General features: G+C 45.6%; 1 protein-coding gene across 28 annotated transcripts in view, besides 9 other annotated features; it reads left to right on the forward strand.

Moving 5' to 3' along the window:
• The first annotated feature begins 1,461 nt into the window (after window positions 1-1,461).
• The window catches only part of CHD9 (chromodomain helicase DNA binding protein 9), a 272,507-nt gene continuing 251,215 nt past the window's right edge, over window positions 1,462-22,753 (forward strand). For 27 of the 28 annotated variants that reach the window (XR_007064921.1, NR_168117.1, NR_168123.1 and 24 more), the window contains exon 1: window positions 1,462-1,548. The gene's annotated coding sequence lies outside the window, so the exon portion shown is untranslated. Of the gene's footprint in view, window positions 1,549-14,116; window positions 14,221-22,753 lie in introns of all 28 variants that reach the window. The other variant, NR_168111.1, reaches the window with a different exon arrangement.
• Window positions 1,756-2,287: an enhancer, noted in NCBI's record as "H3K27ac hESC enhancer chr16:53089197-53089728 (GRCh37/hg19 assembly coordinates)". NCBI's record gives its function as "activates a minimal SCP1, AML or CMV promoter by ChIP-STARR-seq in primed H9 embryonic stem cells {active_cell/tissue: H9 hESC(primed)}" and the evidence as "EXISTENCE:reporter gene assay evidence [ECO:0000049][PMID:30033119]".
• Window positions 1,800-1,849: an enhancer, noted in NCBI's record as "active region_10830". NCBI's record gives its function as "activates an Ori minimal core promoter by ATAC-STARR-seq in GM12878 lymphoblastoid cells {active_cell/tissue: GM12878}" and the evidence as "EXISTENCE:reporter gene assay evidence [ECO:0000049][PMID:35858748]".
• Window positions 4,500-4,549: an enhancer, noted in NCBI's record as "active region_10831". NCBI's record gives its function as "activates an Ori minimal core promoter by ATAC-STARR-seq in GM12878 lymphoblastoid cells {active_cell/tissue: GM12878}" and the evidence as "EXISTENCE:reporter gene assay evidence [ECO:0000049][PMID:35858748]".
• Window positions 7,096-7,322: a silencer, noted in NCBI's record as "fragment chr16:53094537-53094763 (GRCh37/hg19 assembly coordinates)". NCBI's record gives its function as "represses an EF-1alpha promoter that drives an FKBP-Casp9 reporter gene in an ReSE screen in K562 erythroleukemia cells {active_cell/tissue: K562}" and the evidence as "EXISTENCE:reporter gene assay evidence [ECO:0000049][PMID:32094911]".
• Window positions 7,847-7,906: an enhancer, noted in NCBI's record as "active region_10832". NCBI's record gives its function as "activates an Ori minimal core promoter by ATAC-STARR-seq in GM12878 lymphoblastoid cells {active_cell/tissue: GM12878}" and the evidence as "EXISTENCE:reporter gene assay evidence [ECO:0000049][PMID:35858748]".
• Window positions 8,017-8,066: an enhancer, noted in NCBI's record as "active region_10833". NCBI's record gives its function as "activates an Ori minimal core promoter by ATAC-STARR-seq in GM12878 lymphoblastoid cells {active_cell/tissue: GM12878}" and the evidence as "EXISTENCE:reporter gene assay evidence [ECO:0000049][PMID:35858748]".
• Window positions 8,327-8,686: an enhancer, noted in NCBI's record as "active region_10834". NCBI's record gives its function as "activates an Ori minimal core promoter by ATAC-STARR-seq in GM12878 lymphoblastoid cells {active_cell/tissue: GM12878}" and the evidence as "EXISTENCE:reporter gene assay evidence [ECO:0000049][PMID:35858748]".
• Window positions 11,391-11,450: an enhancer, noted in NCBI's record as "active region_10835". NCBI's record gives its function as "activates an Ori minimal core promoter by ATAC-STARR-seq in GM12878 lymphoblastoid cells {active_cell/tissue: GM12878}" and the evidence as "EXISTENCE:reporter gene assay evidence [ECO:0000049][PMID:35858748]".
• Window positions 18,573-18,732: an enhancer, noted in NCBI's record as "active region_10836". NCBI's record gives its function as "activates an Ori minimal core promoter by ATAC-STARR-seq in GM12878 lymphoblastoid cells {active_cell/tissue: GM12878}" and the evidence as "EXISTENCE:reporter gene assay evidence [ECO:0000049][PMID:35858748]".

Here is a 22,753-nt window from a genome sequence, read left to right on the forward strand (position 1 = left end):
GCCACAGAGATAAACTGCCAGGATTACAAGAAAACGTGAAGACGTTCCCATAGAACTCTGTAATGCTTATATCCATCACCAGGAATGTCTGCCCTTGGCGCCCTAAACATAGATTGATTGATTGATTGATTGATTGATTTTGAGGCAGAGTCTCACTCTGTCACCCAGGCTGGAGTGCAGTGGTGCGATCTCAGCTCACTGCAACCTCCTCCTTCCGGGTTCAAGGGATTCTCCCACCTCAGCCTTGGAGTAGTTGGGATTACAGGCTCCTGCCACCACGCCCGGCTAATTTTTGTATTTTTTGTAGAGACTGGGTTTTGCCATGTTGGCTAGGCTGGTCTCAAACTCCTGACCTCAAGCGATCCTCTTGCCTCAGCCTTCCAAAGTGCTGGGATTACAGGCGTGAGCTACGGTGCCTGGCCCTAAATATAGATATTTTTAATAAATCCTCTACTTATCTCACAACGAGCTCAATCGCTTTGCATTAGATCGTTGGGTGTGTTAAAAGTATTCATGTGTTACATTAAATGTGAATTCAACAAAAGCAGAGATTTTTGTGTTTTGTTCTTCATTGTATCCCTTGATTGTAGAAAAGTGGCACATAGTAGGTGCTCAGTTAATCGTTGTTAAATGAAGACATAAATGAAATATAAACCATTAAATGTCCACCATATTTGTAAGCGTTTTGGCATGTCTTCATTGAAAGAATACCAGGCAGCTGGGAGCCATAGTTTACTCCGGTAATCCCAGTGCTTTGGGAGGCTGCAGGTGAGAGGATCGCTTGAGACCAGGAGTTCAAGAGCCACCAGGGCAACATAGAGAGACCTTGTCTCTACAAAAACAAAACAAAACAAAACAAAAAACAAAAAACACAATTCCCTTAAGCCGCCCCTTCCCCTTCCACTGCTCAGAGAAGGCCTTCCAGCAGAGCAGAGCACGAGGTCGCTGGCACACACCCATCCTCCACCAGTCCTGGCCTCTGTAGAGCAAGCCAGCAGAGCAGGCTGTTTCTCTCATTCAGGGACGGTTTAGGGGGTGGCAGGAAAAAATGGTTGCTGATAGGCGAAGGGCCTCCCTGGGTTGGAGAGAACCCCAGCCTCGGATGGTCCCAGCACATTTAAAAGAGAAGCAGTGCCAAAGGTGGGGTGCACTGAAAGCTGCTGGATGAAGGGAAAGATCCTTGTGCTCAGCCCGGAAAACCGGAGGATGGATACCAGGCCGAGGGGTCCCTCCGTGCCCCAAGAGAAAGTTCACCAAGTTTAGATCCCAGTGCCCCGCAGCGGGTGAAGGTGGTCCCGCCCCAGGCCGGATCTGGCCACAGGGCTGGCGGCGCGCTGGAAAACCGCCCACGTGGGAAGAAGCCCTGGCTGCATTTCCGCCCTGGACTGCGCTCCCGCCTGCCAGCGCGGTCCCTGCGCAGCCGCCCCGCGCCCACTAGGTGGCGCCTGCGCTCTAGTGGGCGCTTCACAGGCGCAGCGACAGCGACAGCGACAGCTCGAACCTGAGTCCCAGGATTCCGGGGACTGGAGGGCAGCGCCGGCAGCCAAGGTAGGATTCCTGAGCCCCGGGCGTCTCCCTGGAGCCTCTGAGGTCGGGGTGGACAGCGGGGCGGCCGCTGGGCACCGCTTGCGGTCTGCAGAGATAACCGGAGGAGTCGGGGCGGCAGCACGTGTTGTAGCCGTGGGGGGGACCCAGAGACCCGCAGCCTCGGAGCTGGGCCTAGAGCAAGGCAGAGCACCAGGTCGCTGGCACGCTCGCATCCTCCCCAGCCCTCGCCTCCCAGAGCATGCCCGAATCCCCAAGCCGGGCGTCCTCGAAGCGGAAAGCAGCCACTGTCGCCCAGAGCCACTCCAGGGTGGCAGCCGAGTGCTGATAAGGTCCAGAGCACCACTTCTTAAACTTGTCTGCCCGTTGGCGTTGCTTGGGAAGCATTAAAAAAATACCGATGCCCTAGTTCCACCCCCGCCCCCCCCCAGAGACTCAGATGTGATTGGTCTGGGTGGGGGACTGGACATCTGGGTATTAAAATGTTTGCAAGAGATTCCAGCTGGCAGCCAAATTTGAGGACCCTTGATCTAAGGAGTTGGAGAAAAACGGAGGACATTTGTTTGTTCTAACCCAGAATGCTGATGATTCCCTCCTCCTCCTATTCCTCCAGTTCGCCCTCCTCCTCCTTTCTCATGTGCCTTTTAAGCAGGAAATGCCTCTGCCTTTGTACTGTCAAACCCAAGATAACAAACTAACCATCCCCCACCCCCCACAGTAGGGCTGGTTCTGAAAGGGTTGAACTCGAAAGTGGACAAGGAACAGAAAGACACCAGTGTGGAATGTGAGCGAAGACTCTTAGGGGTTTATGGGTAGGAAGGGGGTTCCTCCCCACCCTGATCCCAGAGAAGATCAGGAGACTGGCTGGAGCTGTCTTCCTCATTTTGGCAAACCTAGCTGATTAGGCAGTGAGAGGCCTTATAACGAGCCTTTTTTACAACTAGTAAAAGGGCCCTTTTACAACTAGTAAAAATGAGCCCTTATGTTTGTTTGTTTTATAGAGATAGGGCCTCACTATATTCCCCAGGATGGTCTCAAACTCCTAGGCTCAAGCCATTCTCCAGCCTCGGCCTCCCAAAGTGCTGGGATTATAGGCATGAGCCGCTGCGCCCCGCTGACCCCTTATGTTTATATAACAGCAGTGTTACTAACATGGGCATAGATTCCCCCCCATAGGCAGCCCTTCCTTTGTGACCTTGGAAACTCACTGAACCATCCTCAGCTTCAGTTTTTGTATCTGCAAAATGGGTGTGAAAATCGGGTTGCCTTGGGAATTATTCACAATAAAAGCTACTGTTTACTAAGGGTTCACCCTATGCTAGAGGCTTTCTGTGCAGGGCCAAGTTAGACTCCTGACCATAACTTCCACGGTAGAACTATGAATACTGCATTTGATAGCCAAGGAAACTGAGGCTCAGAGAGGCCAATGATCTTGCTCGAAGTTATATAATTAATTAATAAGAAGCATGTCCCATATTTGAACCCAGGCAGTCTGCTCTTGAGCTCAGGTGCAAAAGAACAATACTCTGCTGTTTCCCTTGTTGACCAGGACAGCGTGCACGGGGCAGGCGCGTGGTGTGTCTTCACAAACACTAGCTATCACTGCTGTGAGCTGAGCACTTCCACTGAATTGACTCATTCGCTCATTGGAAATACATTTATTATTGAGAGCCTACTGTGGGCCAGGCAGTTTTCCAGATGCTAGAGATAAAATATGAGTAAGACAGAATTCAGCCAGCCCCGAATGAGAGAAACAGGAAGAAAGTGCAGTAGATTCTCATTATTCACAAGTTCTAAATTTGCAAATTCTTCCCTGTAATCCCAGCACTTTGAGAGGCTGAGGCAGGAGGATCGCTTGAGGCTAGGAGTTTCAGATCAGCCTGTGCAACAGAGCAAGGCCCTGTTTGCTTAAAAATTATACACATTGAATAATTCTTAAAAAAAATTTGTTTGTGGCCAGGCATGGTGGCTCATGCATATAATCCCAGTACTTTGGGAAGCTGAGGCAGAAAGATTACTTGAGGCTAGGAGTTCCAGATCAGCCTGGGTAACACAGTAAGACCCTATATCTTTATTTTAAAAATTATATAATTAAAGAATTTTTAAAAAAATATGTTTGTGGCCGGGTGTGGTGGCTCACACCTGTAATCCCAGCACTTTGGGAGACTGAGGTGTGAGGTTAGGAGTTTGAATTTAGGAGTTTGACACCAGCCTAATCACTTGAGCTAAGGAGTTTGAGACCAGCCTGGACAGCATAGAGAGACCTTGGCTCATTTAAAAAAAAAAAGAGGAAAAAAGGCCGGGTGCAGTGGCTCATGCCTGTAATCCCAGCACTTTGGGAGGCCGAGGTGGGTGGATACCTGAGGTCAAGAGTTCGAGACCAGCCTGGCCAACATGGCAAAACCCCGTCTCTACTAAAAATTCAAAAAATTAGCTGGGCGTGGTGGCAAGAGCCCGTAATCCCAGCTGCTTGGGAGGCTGAGGCAGGAGAATTGCTTGAACCTGGGAGGTGGAAGTTGCAGTGAGCCAAGATCACGCCATTGTACTCCAGCCTGGGCAACAACAGCGAAACTCCATCTCAAAAAAAAAAAAGAAAGAAAAAAGAAAAATAATGTCTGCGTAACTTCCAAATCAATATCCATGACACTTTCACAGTCATATATGGATGCACGTAGAATAGTGAAAAAGTTGAGTCACCCAACGTGCACATTTCCAGCCAAGGGCAAACAGGAGGACACGCTGCTTTCTGGTTTCAGCTCTTGTGCTATAAACAAGTGTCCCTTTTGTGGTGTACTTAGTGCCACATTTTTTGCATGTTTGTGTGTTTTTGTTTGTGATGTCGCTGTTTGAAATGGCCCCAAGTGTACAGTTGACGTGCTGTCTAGTGTTCCTAAGTATGAGAAGGCTGCGATGTGCCTTACAGAGAAAGCTTGTCTGTTAGGTAAGCTTCGTTCAGGCATGAGTTATAGTGCAGTTGGCTGAGTTCAGTGTTAATGAATAATATGTATATATATCAACAATATATATCAAATAAGGTGTCTTTTGTCTTTGTTTTTGTTTTTTTGAGATGGAGTCTCACTCTGTCTCCCAGGCTGGAGTGCAGTGGCACGATGTCAGCTCACTGCAGTCTCCACCTCTGGAGTTCAAGCGATTCTCCTGCCTCAGCCTCCCATGTAGCTGGTACTACAGGCACATGCCACCACGCCCAGCTAATTTTTGTATTTTTAGTAGAGACGAGGTTTCACCATGTTGCCCAGGCTGGTCTCGAGCTCCCGACCTCAGGTGATCACCCACTTTGGCCTCCAAAGTGCTAGGATTACAGGCTCAAGCCACAGCACCTGGCCTATAAGGTATCTTTAAACAGAAACACACATAAACAAAGGTTATGCATTGATCTGCCAGGCAGAAGGTGGGGTTAGAAAAAGATGTTTCTGGCAGAAAGGTCAGCATGTACAGAGATAGCCAAGAGCTTGGCAAGGCCAGGGGACTCAAGGAGAGCCAGTGGGCAGGGAGTGTGGTGGTGAAAGGGAGAGAGGCTGGGGCCAGGCGGCTCAGTGTCTTGTGGGCAGCTCTCATTTCATCCGATTAGCACGGTAATCCTGGCAGGTTGGACAGGATCATTTCCGCCTTTGAGAGATGATGAAATTGACGTTCCATGCTGTTAAATGACTTGCCCAAAGTTGCACTGCTGGTAAGCAGCAACACCCCCCACCCTCCAACTTAATCTAATGTTGACCAGACATTTGGGTTTTTTGTTTTGTTTTGTTTTGTTGGTTTTTGGTTTCTTTTGTTGTTGTTTTTAAGACACAGGGTCTTGCTCTGTCACCCATGCCTCCTGTAGTGGTATGATCATAGCTACTGCAGCCTCAACCTCCTGAGCTCGAGGGATCCTCCCACCCAGCCAAGTAGCTGGGGCTACAGGTGCACACCATCATGCCCAGCTAATTTTTTAAGTAGGGTCTTACTGTGTTGCCTAGGCTGGTCTCCAACTCCTAGACTCAAGTGTTTCTCCTGCCTTGGCCTCTCAAAGCACTGAGATTACAAGCATGATCTACCTTACCTGGCCAACATTTGGGTATTGATCAGAAATCTCAGGACGTGGGCTGGAGGTTTGGTTTGTTCTGGGGAGAAATCAGTAACTAAGTGGTGGTGAAAGTGATCAAGCGTCGATGAAACCACGTGGGATAGTGGCAGGGTGTGGAGAAGAAAATTTCTCATGTCCTTTAAAAAAGAAAAATATTTCTGGTGGCTGGGCACAGTGGCATATGCCTGTAATCCCAGCACTTTGGGAAGCAGAAGTGGGAGGAATGCTTGAGGCCAAGAGTTCAAGACTAGCCTGGGCAACATAGTGAGACCCCCACCTCTATCTTTAACAACAAGAAAAATGGAAAAAAAATTTAGTCAAAAAATATTACTGGTATAAAGACATGAATTCCTCTGTGAAAGAGTCTTAGGTACTTGCAGAGGGTGGGAGTAATGACCATGGTCATAAAGATGTGGCAAAAGGAAATGTGAGGTTCTGATTCAAACTGCCCCCAAATACTAGGTCTGGGCATCGGCCTCCCCACTCATGGGGCAGCCAGGCCTCAATCTGCCTCTTGTCTCTGCAGGATAATGACCGTGAACAGGCATCAGCAAACTTTTTCTGTAAAGGTCCAGAGAGTAAATATTTTGAGCTTTATGGACCATAGGGTTTCAGTTGCAACTGCAGTAAATTCTCAATTAATGTCCTCGTTAGGTTCTTAGAAACTGCAACTTTAAGCGAAATGACGTACAGTAAGTCCAAGTAACGTCGTTTCTTGTAATGTTGATGAGAAACTGCCACTGTAGAGTAAAAGCAGCCGTAGATGGTATGTAAACAAATGAGTATATCTGGGTTCCAATAAAGCTTTATGGACACTGAAGTTTTGAATTTCACATAATTTTTCTGTGTCACAAAATATTATTCTTTAAACATTTTTTTCAACCATTTAAAAATGTAAAAGCTGGCCAGGCATGGTGGCTCATATCTGTGATCCCAGGACTTTGGAAGACCAAGGAGGGAGGATTGCTTGGGGCCAGGAGTTCAAGACCAGCCTGGGCAACATAGCAAGACCCCCATCTCTACAAACAAACAAACAAATAAATAATGTAAAAACCATTCTTAGCTCACAGGCTATACAAAAACAGGCAGTAGGCTGGATGTGGCCTGTGGGCTGTAGTTTGCTGACTCCTGATCCCGAATAATGAGACCTGAGGATCAGAAGGATACTAGGTAGGTTGGGTGCAGTGGCTCATGCCTGTAGCCCCAGCACTTTGTGAAGCTGAGGCAGGAGGATTGCTTGAGGCCAGGAGTTCAAGGTCAGCCTGGGCAACATAGTGAGACCTCATTTCTATTTTAAAAATTTTAAAAATTAGCTGGGGCCTGGATTGGTGGCTCACACCTGTAATTCCAGAACTTTGGGGGGCTGAGGTGGGAGGATTACTTGAGTCTAGAAGTTCCAGACCAGCCTGGGCAACATAGCAAGACCCCATATCTACAAAAAAATGAAAAATTAGCCAGGTGTGGTGGTGCACCTGTAGTCCCAGCTACTCAGGAGGCTGAGGTAAGCGAATCAATTGAGCTGAGGAGTTTGAGGTTGCAATGAGCCATGATCATGCCACTGCGCTCCAGCCTGGGCAACTGAGGGGGACCCTGTCTCAAAAAACAAACGAAAATTAGCTGGGCATGGTGGCATGCACCTGCAGCCCCAGCTACTTGGGAAGCTGACGGGGGAGGATCACTTCAGACCAGGAGTTTGAGACTATAGTGAGCCATGATTGCACCACCGCACTCCAGCCTAGGTGACAGGGCAAGATGTTGTCTCTTTTTTTTTTTTTTTTTTTTTTTGAGACGGAGTTTCACTCTTTTGCCCAGGCTGAAGTGAAATGGCATGATCTCAGCTCACTGCAACCTCCGCCCCCCCGGGTTCAAGCGATTCTCCTGCCTCAGTTTCCCAAGTAGCTGGAATTATAGGTGCCCACTGCCATGCCTGGCTAATTTTTGTGTATTTAGTGGAGATGGGGTTTCGCCATGTTGGCCAGGCTGGTCTCGAACTCCTGACCTCAGGTGATTCACCCGCCTTGGCCTCCCAAAGTGCTAGGATTACAGGCATGAGCCACCTCGCCTGGCCAAGATGCTGTCTCTTTAAAACAAAAAAACAAACAAAAAAGACAGACACACAAAAGGAATACTAAGTGTTCATCTGATTTGAGTCTTTACCTGACCTGTGAATCTCCATTGAACATTGTCAGCCATTTCTTGAGTCCTCAGTAAGATGGAACTTCACATCTCACTGGGCAACTCATTCCACTGACAGAAGTTTAAAGCTGTGTCATAGTTGTAGTTTCCCCCAAAGCAGATCACGAGAAAAGGATTCAGGTGCCAGAAATGTATTTCGGAAATGATCCCAGGAAGCCCAGTGAGAGTGAAATTAACCGAGAAAGGGAGAAAAGCCAATAAAAAAGGTGTTGATGAGTGAGTTACCACTGGGCAATTGGGTCTCCATCCCTCAGGGACCCTTAGCGAGACTATAGAAAATATTTCAGAAGTGTCCCACGAAAAGGCAGGGAGACTGGGGTATATCCTCGACTCTCATACCTCATTATTGAGGGTTGTCTTGCTAACTGTCTGCTGTGCACACCCTGAAGCCAGAAAATAACTTAAAGCAGAAGTGAAAGGTAGCCCAGGGCATCTGGAAATGTCTGCAGGTAACCTCGGGTGAGCTGAGGAGTATGGGTGGGGCACCCATAGTGTCTCCAACAAAGTGTTTCTGACTTTGCTTTCTAAGATGTGCAACTCATACCACAAGGGGTCTTGTGAGATGGCTTTGGTGTGGCACAGAGAGAGACATGGTACCCAAGAGCACAAAGTCTCAGAATGGGAAAGGGATTTTTCCCTTTTGAGCTGTCTCTTTGATCCTGCTCTGCCCGCCTCTCACCCCTGGGGCTGCCCTCTCTCCCCAGAGCAGGTGCTCCACCCACGCTGGCCTTTCACTTCCTCCAACTTGTGGGACTGGGACTCTTGCTTCTGACTGCAGCCAACAGAAGTCTGGGCAAAGTACTAGAATGCTACTGTAACACTTGATTGTCTCCTCTTTCATTGGAAAGACAGCAGTCCTCCAGTTCAGGGCATTTAAGAGGCAACAGTAAGTGTGACCATTTAATAACATTGTTAAAACTGTAACAATCTAATAACATTGTTTGCTGTTATGTTTATCTTTACAGTTTCCACCTGTACATGGCTTTTCATGTATGGTAGTAATATAACGTTTCCCTTAAAATAAATGTATATAAATCGTGTGTCCATTTAAAGAAAAATATTAAATAAGAGTATCAATGGTATGAGGATAGAATAAAATATAATAGGCCAGGTGCAGTGGCTCATGCCTGTAATCCTAATACTTTGGGAGGTACACGCAGGGAGGTCACTTGAAGCCAGGAGTTGGACACCAGCCTGGGCAACATAGTGAGACCCCATCTCTACAAAACATTTTAAAAATTACCTGGGTGTAGTGATGCATGCCTGTAATCCAGCTACTCAGGAGGCTGAGGTGGGAGGATGGTTTAAGCCCAGGAGTTCGAGGTTACAGTGAGCTATGATCATGCCACTGCACTCCAGGAAGACCCCAATTATTTAAAAATAAAAATTTATGGAGCCGGGTGCGATGGCTCACGCCTGTAATCCCAGCACTTTGGGAGGCCAAGGAGGGCTGATCACCTGAGGTTGGGAGATTGAAACCAGCCTGACCAACATGGAGAAACCCCATCTCTACTAAAAATACAAAATTAGCCAGGCACATGCCTGTAATCCCAGATACTCGGGAGGCTAAGGGAAGAATCGCTTGGACCCGGGAGGCAGAGGTTGTGGTGAGCCAAGATCGCGCCATTGCACTCTAGCCTGGGCAACAAGAGTGAAACTCCGTCTCAAAAAAATAAAATAAAAAATAAAAGAATTTTATTAGAAAAATATATATGTATAAAATACCCACCACTTACTGGGTACTTACTAAGTGCTGGATGCTCTTCTAAGCACTTTCCATGCGTCATTCAAATCATTCAATTAATCCTCACCAATATGGGTTAAGTACTATTTGAGGTAGGGACTCTTTGCCCCATGTTACTACTGAGCAAACAGGCATAGAGAAGTTAAATAACGTGCCCAAAGTTATATAGCTAGGAAGTGATGAGCTGGAAAATAAACCCAGGTGGTCCTGCTCCAGATTTGTGCTCTAAATTGCAGAATTATGCTGCTTCTCATAAATTTCACACACACACACACACACACACACACACACACACACACACACAAAATGTGAAGGTGATATTTGAATAACTGAAGTTAGGGGAAAACTGCCCTAAAAGGTTCCCCATTTTTTCTGTCTCCCTGTATCTACTGCCCTTTGGTTGCCATACTTTTTCTTTTTCTTTATTTTTTTATTTTTATTTTTATTTTTTTGAGACAGAGTCTCGCTCTGTCGCCCAGGCTGGAGTGCAGTGGCGCAATCTTGGCTCACTGCAAGCTCCGCCTTCGGGTTCACGCCATTCTCCTGCCTCAGCCTCCTCAGTAGCTGGGACTACAGGCGCCCGCCACCACGCCCGGCTAATTTTTTGTATTTTTAGTAGAGATGGGGTTTCACCATGTTAGCCAGGCTGGTCTCAATCTCCTGACCTCGTGACCCGCCCATCTCGGCCTCCCAAAATGCTGGGATTACAGGCATAAGCCACCATGCCTGGCCTTTTTTTTTTTTTTTTTTAAGAAAGACAGGATCTCACTCTGTTGCCTAGGCTGGAGTCCAGTGTTGTGATCATAGCTCACTGAAGCTTAAACTCCTAGGCTCTGGCCATCCTCCCACCTCAGCCTCCAGAGTAGCTGGGGGTACAGACCTATGAGCCACCATGCCCAGCTAATTTTTTTTTTTTGGTAGAAACAGGTCTGGCTGTGTTGCCCAGGCTGGTCTCAAACTCCTGGCCTCAAATGATCCTCCTGCCTCAGCCTCCCAAAGTTCTGGAATTACAGGCATGAGCCACCATATATGGCCTGGTTGGCATATTTTCTTTAGAGCCTCAGAAGATCAATCTATTCCCTTTTCATCACCACAGTTCTTCAGATATTTGATGACAGAGAACTGGTTGGCCTTCCCAGATCTTCTGTGCTCTAGATTAAACATTGCCAGTTCCTTCTACTAGTTTCTGTTGCATGTTCTTGGCCTCTTCCCCTCCAGCACAGGGCCTCTTCTTTATTCTTGTTTCTTCAGCAGAACCTATAAAGTTATTTTGTTGTCGTAGCACTTTTTTTTGCAGGTTTCCCACAGCTCATTCCAGGGGCTCAGGGTAGGGAGGGTGTGATTGGGGTGACTGACATGGCAAAGGGCAGCTTGAGAGTGACATCAAAAAGGGGGGCCAGCTGTCAATCAGGGAAAAGCCCCCTAGGGCCAGCAGTACAGTGGGCTGGAGGCTGGTGAACCTGGTTCTCTGCAGGCCAGAGATGAAGGTTCTTTAGTGCACTTGGAGCTAACCAGGCTGAAAGGGGCGGACTAACCAAATTCACCAGAGCCTGGTGAGGAAGCCAGGCTGCAAATGTATTAAATCACAAGGGAGGCTGGGCACAGTGGCTCATGCCTGTAATCCCAGCACTTTGGGAGGCCAAGGTGGGTGGATCACCTGAGGTCAGGAGTTCGAGACCAGCCTGGCCAACATGGTGAAACCCCGTCTCTACTAAAAATAGAAAAATTAGCCAGGTGGCACATGCCTGTAATCACAGCTACTTGGGAGGCTGAGGCAGGAGAATCAGCTGAACACAGGAGTTGGAGGTTGCAGTGAGCTGAGATCGCACCATTGCACTCCAGCCTGGGCGACAGAGCAAGACTCTGTCAAGAAAGAAAGAAAGAGAGAGAGAGAGAGAAAGAAAAAGAGAGGGAGTGAGAAAGAAATCACAAGGGGAGAAGCAACTGCAAAGCAGTCTGAAACCTCCATGCTGACTTGTCAGCACACTCTTTCTCCTGTGGGAAAGTCAGAATCTAGTTAGAAGGTTGGTTTTTGTGGAATCAAAGCAAGGTGAGCAAAATGAGTGATTTTAATCACCAGGAAAACCTAAGATATTTGTACCCTCTGAGGGATACAAGAGTCTAGAGTGGCAGCACTGCTAGTATAATTGCCCCTTCCTGTGCTTGTGGTAGAAATGTCTGATCAATCACTGCATCTTTTCCTTCCTACTGCTCCCTGGGCCAGCCCTAAGATTCTTAGCAAGAGAGTATTCTGGCCCTGTGCGGTGGCTCATGCCTGTAATCCCAGCACTTTGGGAGACAAAGGCAGAAGGATTGCTTGAGCCCAGGAGTTCAAAATCAGCCAGGGCAATATAGTGACACCCCATCTCTACAAAAAAATTTAAAAATGAGCTGGATGTGTGGGCGAGCACCTGTAGTCTCAGTTACTTGGGAGGCTGGGTGGGAGGATTGCTTGAGCCTGGGAGATTGAAGCTGCAGTGAGCTCTGATCACACCACTGCACTCCAGCCTGGGAAACAAAGCCAGATTCTGTCTTAAATTAAAAAAAAAAAAAAAAAAAAGGAAGAGAGTATTCCTGGAAGCTCTGGCCAGACCTCTGAGCTGCCTGTAATACTCAAGGAGGTTTTCAGAGTTTCCACTACTCTGGACAATGTGGAAGACAATGACTCTCAAAGACTTGCTCTTTGGTACTGCCTTTTTGGAGCTCCTCACGCATCACCATTTCTCTCTACCTATGATTCCTTCAGCTTTTGTTAATGCAATTGGCTCGCTTTTTGTTTTGTTGAGTCTTGATTTAATTTCCAGGCTTTGCTCTTCCAGCTTTGTCCAGAGACACATCCTGTCCTGTCCTTAAGGACTTCTGCAAATCAGTAATCACAGATGTTGCGTGCAGTTCACTGATATCTACTCTCCTCGTATTTTGGGGTGGCTTACTGCATACCCACGAGTAAGAACTTCTTGCAATCAACAGGCAATTTGCTGGGGTGCTGGGGTTTGTTCCATTATCAAACAAACTGGGATTCCTACCCCAGTTCCATCACTTACTGGTTGTGTGTGACCTTGGATGAGTTGCTTAACCTCCTGAGCCTAGTTTTCTCTGCTGAAATATAGAATCGGCAGCATCACAATTTTAAACTCTTACTACTGTTATCACTCAGTTATGACTGGGGCCTGGGGTACAAAGGAAAGCAGCAAGTCAGCAGAGGAAATTTAGGCACTAAACCCAAGTCATCGAGTTTGCTGCTTTTTAACATTGGTTATGCTTAACTAAAGAGTTAGGAGTCAGTATTTTGAAGCAAGCAGACCTTTTACCAGCCTTAAAAAATGTACATTATGTACATGGCCTCTCTTTCTACCCATATAGAGAAATGGACTTACCTAAAAGAAAAATAAACACATACGGAGAATCAGTGGCACCTGGAGCTGAGAGAGACCTTGAGCTCCTGGAGGAGAGGTGGCTCCTGCCCGGTCTCACAGGGGAAACCCAGCTCTTGCCCTAGGAAGGCTGCTAGTCTAATGAGAGAGGCACCATATTTAACCTCAGGGAGTCTGGGAGGAGAGCCATACAGTCTTCTTGGTGTGAGCTATAGCTTCTTCTCTGCAGGCATTGCTGTGTCCGCTCCTTCTCTTTGGTCAATCAGCAGTCAGGGACAGAGAGGCTGTCATCATTCACAAGTCCATTACACCTGTGTCAATGCATGTTAGCGGGCCAGTTTCTGAGGATGTGACTCAGGAATTTGTTTTTGAAAGACTTTATATATTTTTGGTACAATTTAGATTTACAAAAAAAAATTGAGACAATACTACAGAATTCCCACATATTCCACATCCAATTTCCCCTATTATTATTATTTTTTAAATTTTGAGACAAGGTCTCTCTCTGTCACCCAGGTGAAGTGCAATGGTGCGATCTTGGCTCACTGCAACCTCTGCCTCCTGGGCTCAAGCCATCCTCCCACGTCAGCCTCCCAAGTAGCTGGGACTACAGGCGCACACCACTATGTCCAACTAATATTTTTATTTATGGTAGATATGGGGTCTTGCTGTGTTACCCAGGCTGGTCTTGAACTCCCGGGCTCATGCAGTCTGCCTGCCTCGACTTCCCAAAGTGTTGGGATTACAGACATGAGCCACAGAGCCGGTCTATCCTGTTATTAACATCTTATATTGCTATGGTACATTTGTTACAATTAACTGATATTGATATTTGATATGGTACATTTGTTACAACCTGATATTGATACATTATTATTAACTAAAAACATAGTTTATTCAGATACCCTTAGTGTTTATTTAATGTTCGTTTTCTGTCCCAGGATCCCATCCAGAATACCAAATTACATTTATATCTTTTTTTTTATACCAACAAAAATGGGCTTGAAACCACTTTACATTTGTTTGTTGTGTGTCCTTAGTCTCCCATTGACTGTGACATTTTCTATGAATTTTCTTGGTTTTGATAACCTGGAGAGTTTTGAGGAATACTGGTCAGATATATTGTAAAATACTCCTCTACTGGAATTCATCTCATATTTTTCTCATGATTAGGGTTGTGGGTTTTGACGCGGAAGACCACAGAAGTAAAGTGCCATCTTTATCACATCACATCAAGCATCTGTACTATCAACATGACTTATTACCAGGTGGCTAAGGTAGCGTTTGTCAGGTTTCTCCACGGTAAAGTTAACTCATTTTCCTCCTTTTCATAGTGTCCTCTTGGAAGGAAGTCACTGAGCAGCCCACACTAGAGCCCAGGAGTTTGGGACTAGCCTGGGCAACATAGTGAGACCCCAACTCCACAGGAAAAAAAAATTAGCTGGGCATGGTGGCATGTGCCTGTGGTACCAGCTACTTGGGGTGCTGAGGCAGGAGAATTGCTTGAGCCCAGGAGGTCAAGTCTGCAGTGAGCTAAGATTGTGCCACTGTCCTCCAGCCTGGCACAGCCAGACCCTGTCTCAAAAATAAATAAATAAAAATTTGAAACCCATGTAGGCCTGGATTCCTACCCCACTTCCATCACTTACTGGCTGTGTTTGACCTTGGATATGTTGCTTAACCTCCTGAGCCTCAGTTTTCTCAGCTGAAATATAGAGCTAATATCACTACCTGCTGCTTAAGGTTATTAAATAACAGGCACATAGTAGTCCTCTATGAATAGAAGTTGTTATTGTTGTTAGTCTGCCATTCAAGTTCCTTCTGGATCTGACTCCAGATCCAAACACCACTTTTCAAGGTTGCAAGACAACAGGCTTGTGTGGCAGATATTCCTGCACCGAGTTGCATTCTCACTGGTCACATTCTCTTCCCCGCCGATCCAGCATTCTCTCCCACCTCTGCCTCTCAGTCACACAGTACTTCAGCTAAACACAGGGCCCGCTAAAGTGCCCTCTACCAAGCCACACATCTGCATATCCTCATTCTCTCAAACCCACCTTAAGCACCACTTCCTCTGTGACACCACCCAAGAGAGCCAGGCAAGAAGTCCTCTCTCCTCCTGGGAACTGCCACAGCACCCACTCCACTGTATTCCCTCATATTCTGCAGCCCTCATCACTTTTAACCCATTGTCAAAGCAAGGTGCACTGTCCTCTCCCTGAACAATTCTCGTCTTTGTTCATCTTTCTCTCCCACCTGCACACACTGGGCTCAGTGCAAGCTTGCGGTCTTGTTTATACCTGCGGTAAGTTTTGACAAGACAAAGGAAGTAGGGGAAATGCCATATCCTGAATGCTAACTGGGCCTAACTGGGCAGCCTCTGTGGGCCGAACTTTGCAGAGGTTGAGAGGCTGACCGTAGGTCACTTCCACTATTTTATATATATCCACATATTTTATTGTGGTAAAATACACATGACATTGAAATTTACCATTTTAACCATCTTAATGCATTTTCTTCTTTTATTTTATTTTATTTTATTTTATTTTTGAGACAGGGTCTTGCTCTACTGCCCAGGCTGTACTGCAGTGGTGCCATCTTGGCTTACTGCAACCTCTGCCTCCCAGGTTCAGCAATTCTCCTTGCCTCAGCCTCCAGAGTAGCTGGGATTACAGGCATGTGCCACCACGCCCAGCTAATTTTTGTATTTTTACTAGAGACAAGGTTTCACCATGTGGCCAGGCTGGTCTCAAACTCCTAACCTCAAGTGATCCACCCACCTCGGCTTCCCAAAATGCTGGGACTACAGGCATGAGCCACCGCGCCCAGCCTGCATTTTCTTTAGTTCAATGCATTAAGTGCGTTCACATTGTTGTACAACCATCACCACTATCCATCTCCAGAACTCTTTTTCATCTTCCCAAGCTGAAACTCTGTCCCCATTAAACAACTCCCCTTCCCCCTTAACCCCATCCCTGGCAACCACCATTTTACTTTCTGTCTTTGTGAGTTTGACTACTCTGGGTACCTCATCTAGGTAGAATTACACAGTATTTATCCTTTAGTGACTGGCTTATTTCACTAAGCCTAATGTCTTCAAGGTTCATATTCCATTTTAATAGACTGTGGTATGTATCTGCCACAGTGTGTTTATCCATTCATCTGTTGGTGGACACTTGGGTTACTTCCACTTTTTGGCTATTGTGAATAACACTGCTATGAACATGGGTGTATAGATATCTGTTTATGTTCCTACTTGCAATTCTGTTGAATATATACCTATAATGGAATTGCTGGATCTTATGGTAATTCTGTGTGCCATTTTTCAAGGAATCATCATATCATTTTCAACAGCTGCTGTACCATTTTACATCCCACCAACAATGCACCAAGGTTTCCATTTCTCCACATCCTTGTCAACGTTTGTTATTTTCTGTTTGTTTGTGTGTGGTTTTTTTTGATCATAGGTGTCCTATCCTGGTGTGAAGTGGTATCTCATTGTGGTTTTGATTTTCAGTTTTCTAATGATTAGTGATGTTGAGCATCTTTTCATGCGCTTACTGGCCATTTGTATATCTTCCTTGGAAAAATATCTATTCAAGGTATTTGCTGATTTTTAAAATCAGGCTGGGTTGTTTGTTTCTTTGTTGTTGAGTTGTGGGGTTCTTTATCTATTTTGGGTATCAGTCCCTTACCAGATAACAATTCCAAGTATTTTCTCTGTGGATTGCCTTTTTAGTCTGTTAATTATGTCCTTTGAATGCACAGAAGTTTTTAATTTTAATGTTTAATTTATGTATTTTTTTCTTTTGTGCTTTTGGTGTTGTATTCAAGAAATCATTGCCAAATCAATGTCATAAAGTTTTCCCTCTATATTTTCTTCTAAGAGTGTTATGGTTTTAGCTCTTATATTTTAAGTTTTTGATCCATTTTGAGTTACTTTTTGTATGTCATGTAAGGTTAAGGATACAACTTCATTTTTTTGCACGAGTAGCATGTCTTTCTTTCTTTCTTTCTTTCCTTCCTTCCTTCCTTCCTTCCTTCCTTCCTTCCTTCCTTCCTCTCTCTCTCTCTCTCTCTCTTTCTTTCTGTCTTTCTTTTTTTTGGAGTCTTGCTCTGTCACCCAGGCTGGAGTGTAATGGCGTGATCTTGGCTCACTGCAACCTCTGCCTCCCGGGTTCATGTGATTCTCTTGCCTCAGCTTCCTGAATAGCTGGACTACAGACATGCACCACCATGCCCAGCTAATTTTTGTAGTTTTAGTAGAAACAAGATTTCACCATGTTGGCCAGGCTGGTCTCAAACTCCTGACCTCAAGTGATCCGCCTGTCTTGGCCTCCCAAAGTGCTGGGATAACAGGCATGAGCCACCGCACCTGGCCATATGTCTTTCTTTATGCAAATACTACATTGCTTTGATTACTGTAGCTTTGTAGTAAGTTTTGAAATCAGGATGTGTGAGTCCTCCAGATTTGTTCTTTTTCATGATTATTTTGGCTATTTGGGGTCCCTTGGGATTGCTTATGAATTTTAGGGTGGATTTTTCTATTTCTGCAAAAAGTCATTGAGATTTTGATAGCAATTACATTGACTCTGTAGATCACTTTGGGTAGCACTGACATCTCAATATTATGTCTTCCAAGTCATCATGGGATGTCTTTCCATTTACTTATATCTTCTTTAACTTCTTTCACCAGTGTTTTGTAGTTTTTGGTGTAGAAGACGTTCACCTCCTTGATTAAATTTATTCCTAAGTATTATGTTCTTTTCAATACTCACATTCATTTTTGAGGCTCTTGATATATTTAAAAATGAAGAAATGCAAAACAGGATACTAATATGGTAGTCATTTTGAACTGTTTGGTCCCTTCAGTGTGTCTCAGAGATGGTGTTATATAGACAATGACAGTGTTATATAGAGTCAAAAGCCTAGGTTTAAGTCATTTCAAAAATGTGAGCCCCTACCCATTCACCCCACTGTGATTGTAAGAAAGGGTTTGCGAGTTCCTCTTCCTGGGGTAGGAATGGGAATAGTAAAATATTCCCTCAGGTGAGCCCTCCTGGGGGCCAGCAAAGACTTGTCATCACTATAGGCATAATCAATACATCTTCCCAGAAAGTGATTCTGAGAACATTCAGGTGCCTTTAAAGCCTCAGGCTAGAAGACCCCAGAGCCCCAGCATCATGGAGACTGAAGCAGAAACAGTCACTCAGAGCTGCAGAAGAAAGAGAGCCATCAGCTCGCCCACCCCTCGGTCCTGCTCACCCTGCGGGGATTTTGTTGTCTGTCTTTCTGGCCCACCTCGGTTTCAGTTTGAAGAACTGTGCTGAGGACAAAGGTGAGGGAACACAGTGTGATGGCCAGCCCTACTCAGGCATTTCCCCATACCCCAGAAAGCATTTCAACGGCAGGCCTTTCCTCTTCTGTCACTCAACGGTTTGGGGGCTTTCTTACCCTCAGGACAGCTGGTGAAACTGTGTTCTTTTTCAGGCATTGAGTTTATTGTGCATCTTGTTTTTCTGGCCTCTGGGGATACATGTGCAACACAGACACACATGCATGCACACCCACCTCTGTATCCAAATGTCTGCAGAATTCATAGGCGCCAGTGTCTAGAGACAGACTCTGTCTCCTTTTCTTTCTTCTTTCTACCTCCTACTCTCCCTGCTGAAGTCTGTTGTTGTCTTATCCCCAGCCGGAAGCCCCCCTCTGTCACAGGGCCAACTTCCCGGCCACTTGTTCCCCTCCAGCTGCTGCTCCTGCAGGCCCAGCCAACTCCTATTTCCATAGCAACCAAAACTCATTTTTCCATTTCTGCCTTTCTACTTTGGAAGGAAAGCCATAAGTCTTTTTTTTTTTTTATAATTGGGATCCCTGCAATATTTTTTTCCAATTTAAAAAATACATGTAAAATTTATCACCATAACTTTTTTTTTTTTTTTTTTGAGGCAGGGTCTTGCTCTGTTGCTCAGGCTAGAGTACAGTGGTGTAATCATATAGCTCACTGTAGCCTCTAACTCCTGGGCTCAAGCGACCCCCAACCCCACCTCACCCCACCCCACCATGCCTGGCTAACTTTTTAATTTTTTGTAGAGACAGGGTCTCAATATGTTGCCTGGTCTCGAACTCCTGGGTTCAAGCAATCCTCTTGCCTCAGCTTCCCAAAATGCTGGGATTATAGGTATGAGCCACTATGCCCAGCCTATAACTTTTTATTTTTTTATTTTTTTTATTTTTTTTTGAGACAGAGTCTAGCTCTTTGCCCAGGCTACAGTGCAGTGGCACAATCTTGGCTCACTGCAAACTCCACCTCCCGGGTTCAAGCAATTCTCCTGCCTCAGCCTCCTGAGTAGCTGGGACTACAGGCGCCTGCCACCACGCCCAGCTAATTTTTGTATTTTTAGTAGAGACGTGGTTTCACCATGTTAGCCAGGCTGGTATTGAACTCCTTACCTCAGGTGATCCACCCGCCTCGGTCTCCCAAAGTGCTGAGATTATAGGCTTCAGCCACCACGCCCGGCCATCCCTATAACCATTTTCATATCTATGGTTCTGTGATATTAAATATATTCATAGTGATGTGTAACCATCACCACTATCCATCTCTAGAATTCCTTTCATCTTGTAAAACTAAAACTCTGTACCCGTTAAACACTAACTTTCTATTTTCGCCTCCCCGTAGCCCTGGCAACAGCCAATCTGCTGTGTGTCTCTATGAATTTGACTACTCTGAGTGCCTCATACCAGTGGAATCAGATAGTATTTGTTTTTGGTGACTGGCTAATTTTACTTAGCGTGATGACCTCAAGGTTCATCCGTGTCGTAGCCTATGTCAGCATTTCCTTCCTTTTAAGGCTGAATACTATTCCACTGTATATGTTTATGTACCACAGTCTTATCCATTTGTCTGTTGATGTTCACTTGGATTGCTTCTACCTCTTGACTGTTGTGAATGATGCTGCTATGAATGTGAATGTACAAATATCTCTTTGAGACTCTGTTTTCAATATTTTTGAATATATATCCAGAAGTGGAACTGCTAGATCATATGGTAATATGGTTTGGCTCTGTGTCCCCACCCAAATCTCATCTTGAACTGTATTCCCATAATTCCCACCTGTGGTGGGAGCGGCCCAGTTGGAGATAATTTGAATCATGGGATGGTTTCCTCAGTACTGTTCTCGTGGTAGTGAATAAGTCTCATGAGATCTGATGGGTTTATCAGGGGTTTTTGCTTTTGCATCTTTCTCATTTTCTCTAACTGCTGCCATGTAAGAAGTGCCTTTTGCCTCCCACCATAATTCTGAGGCCTCCTCAGCCATGTGGAACAATTAAACCTCCTTTTCTTCCTAGTCTCATGTATGTCTTTATCAGCAGTGTAAAAACAGACTAATACAGTAAATTGGTACCAGTAGAGTGGGGCGCTGCTGAAAAGATACCCAAAAATGTGGAAGCGACTTTGGAACTGGGTAATAGGCAGAGATTGGAACAGTTTGGAGGGCTCAGAAGAAGACACGAAAATGTGGGAAAGTTTGGAACTTCCTAGAGACTTGTTGAATGGCTTTGACAAAATACTGATAATGATATGGACAATGAAATCGAGGCTGAGGTGGTCTCAGATAGAGTTAAGGAACTTGTTGGGAACTGGAGCAAAGGTGACTCTTCTTTATGTTTTAGCAAAGAGACTGGTGGCATTTTGCCCTTGCCCTAGAGATTTGTGGAACTTTGAAATTGAGAGAGATGATTTAGGGTATCTGGTGGAAGATATTTCTAAGCAGCAAAGCATTCAAGAGTTGACTTGGGTGCTGTTAAAGGCATTCAGTTTTAAAAGGGAAGCAGAGCATAAAAGTTCAGAAAATTTGCAGCCTGACAATGCAATAGAAAAGCAAATCCCATTTTCTGAGGAGACATTCAAGCAGGCTGCAAAAATTTGCATAAGTAATGAGGAGCTGAATGTTAATCCCCAGGACAATGGAGAAAATGTCTCCAGGAAATGGCAGAGACCTTTGCGGCAGCCTCTCCCATCACAGGCCCAGAGGTTGAGGAGGAAAAAATGGTTTTGTGGATAGGCCCCAGGGTCCCCATGCTGTGTGCAGTCTAGGGACTTGGTGCCCTGCATCCCAGCCACTCCAGCCGTGGGTGAAAGGGGTCAATGTAGAGCTTGGGCCATGGCTTCGGAGGGTGCAAGCACCAAGCCTTGGCAGCTTCCATGTGGTGTTGAGCCTGTGGCTGCACAGAAGTCAAGAACTGGGGTTTGGGAACCTCCGCCTAGATTTTAGAAGATGTATGGAGACGCCTGGATGCCCAGGCAGAAGTTTGCTGCAGGGTGGGGCTCTCATGGGAACCTCTGCTAGGGCAGTGCAGAAGGGAAATGTGAGGTTGGAGCCCCCACACAGAGTCCCTACTGGGACACTGCCTAGTGGAGCTGTGAGAAGAGGGCCACCATCCTCCACACCCCAGAATGGCAGATCCAACTTGCATCGTGTGCCTGGAAAAGCCACAGACAACACCAGCCTGTAAAAGCAGTGGGGAGGGAGGCTGTATCCAGCAAAGCCAGAGGGGCAGAGCTGCCCAAGGCCACAGTAACCCACCTCTTGCATCAGTGTGACCTGGATATGAGACCTGGAGTCAAAGGAGATCATTTTAGAGCTTCAAAATTTGACTGCCCTGATGGATTTCAGGCTTGCATGGGCCCTGTAACCCCTTTGTTTTGGCCAATTTCTCCCATTTGGAATGGCTATATTTACCTAATACCTGTACCCCCATTGTATCTAGGAAGTAACTAGCTTGCTTTTGATTTTACAGGCTCATAGACAGAAGGGACCTGCCTTGTCTCAGAAGAGACTTCGGAATGTGGACTTTGGGGTTAATGCTGAAATGAGTTAAGACTTTGGGGGACTATTGGGAAGGCAAGATTGGTTTTGAAATGTGAGGTCATGAGATTTGGAGGGGCCAGGGGCGGAATGATATGGTTTGGCTCTGTACCCCCACCCGAATTTCATCTTGAATTGTACTCCCATAAATCCCATGTGTTGTGGGAGGGACCCAGTGGGAGATAATTTGAATCATGGGGGCGGTTTCCCCCATACTGTTCTCTTGGTAGTGAATAAGTCTCACGAGATCTGATGGTTTTATTCCGGGGGTGGGGGGTTCTGCTTTTGCATCTTCCTCATTTTCTCTTGCTGCTGCTACATAAGAAGTGCCTTTTGCCTCTCGCCATGATTCCGAGGCCTCCCCTGCCATGTGGAACTGTAAGTCCAATTAAATCTCTTTTCCTTCCCAGACTCACATATGTCTTTATCAGCAGCATGAAAATGGACTAATACATATGGTAATTTCATTTTTAATCTTTTGAGGACCTGACGTACTGTTTTCCCCACAGGTATAGCTTTTTTACATTCCCACCAGCAGTGCACAAGGATTCCCATTTCTCCACGTCCTCACCAACACTTGTTATTTTCTGTTTTTTTCAGAGTAGCCATCTTAATGGTGTGAGTGGCATCTCATTATAGCTTTGATTTCCATTTCCCTAATAATTAGCGATGTCAAGCATCTTTTCATGTGCTTATTGGCCGTTTATATATCTTCTTTGGAGAAATATCTATTCAAGTCCTTTGCCCATTTTGAATCACGTTTGTTGTTGTTGAGTTGTAGGAGTTCTCTGTATCTTCTGGCTATTAATCCTCCATCAGATATATGATTTATAAATATTTACTTCTATTTCTGGGTTGTCTTTTTACTCTGTTGATATTGTCTTTTTATGAACACATTAAAAAATTTTTCATAACATCCAATTTTTAAAAAAAAATT

The sequence above is a fragment of the Homo sapiens genome, chromosome 16 (assembly GCF_000001405.40).
Source record: "Homo sapiens chromosome 16, GRCh38.p14 Primary Assembly".
NCBI classification, from domain to species: domain Eukaryota; kingdom Metazoa; phylum Chordata; class Mammalia; order Primates; family Hominidae; genus Homo; species Homo sapiens.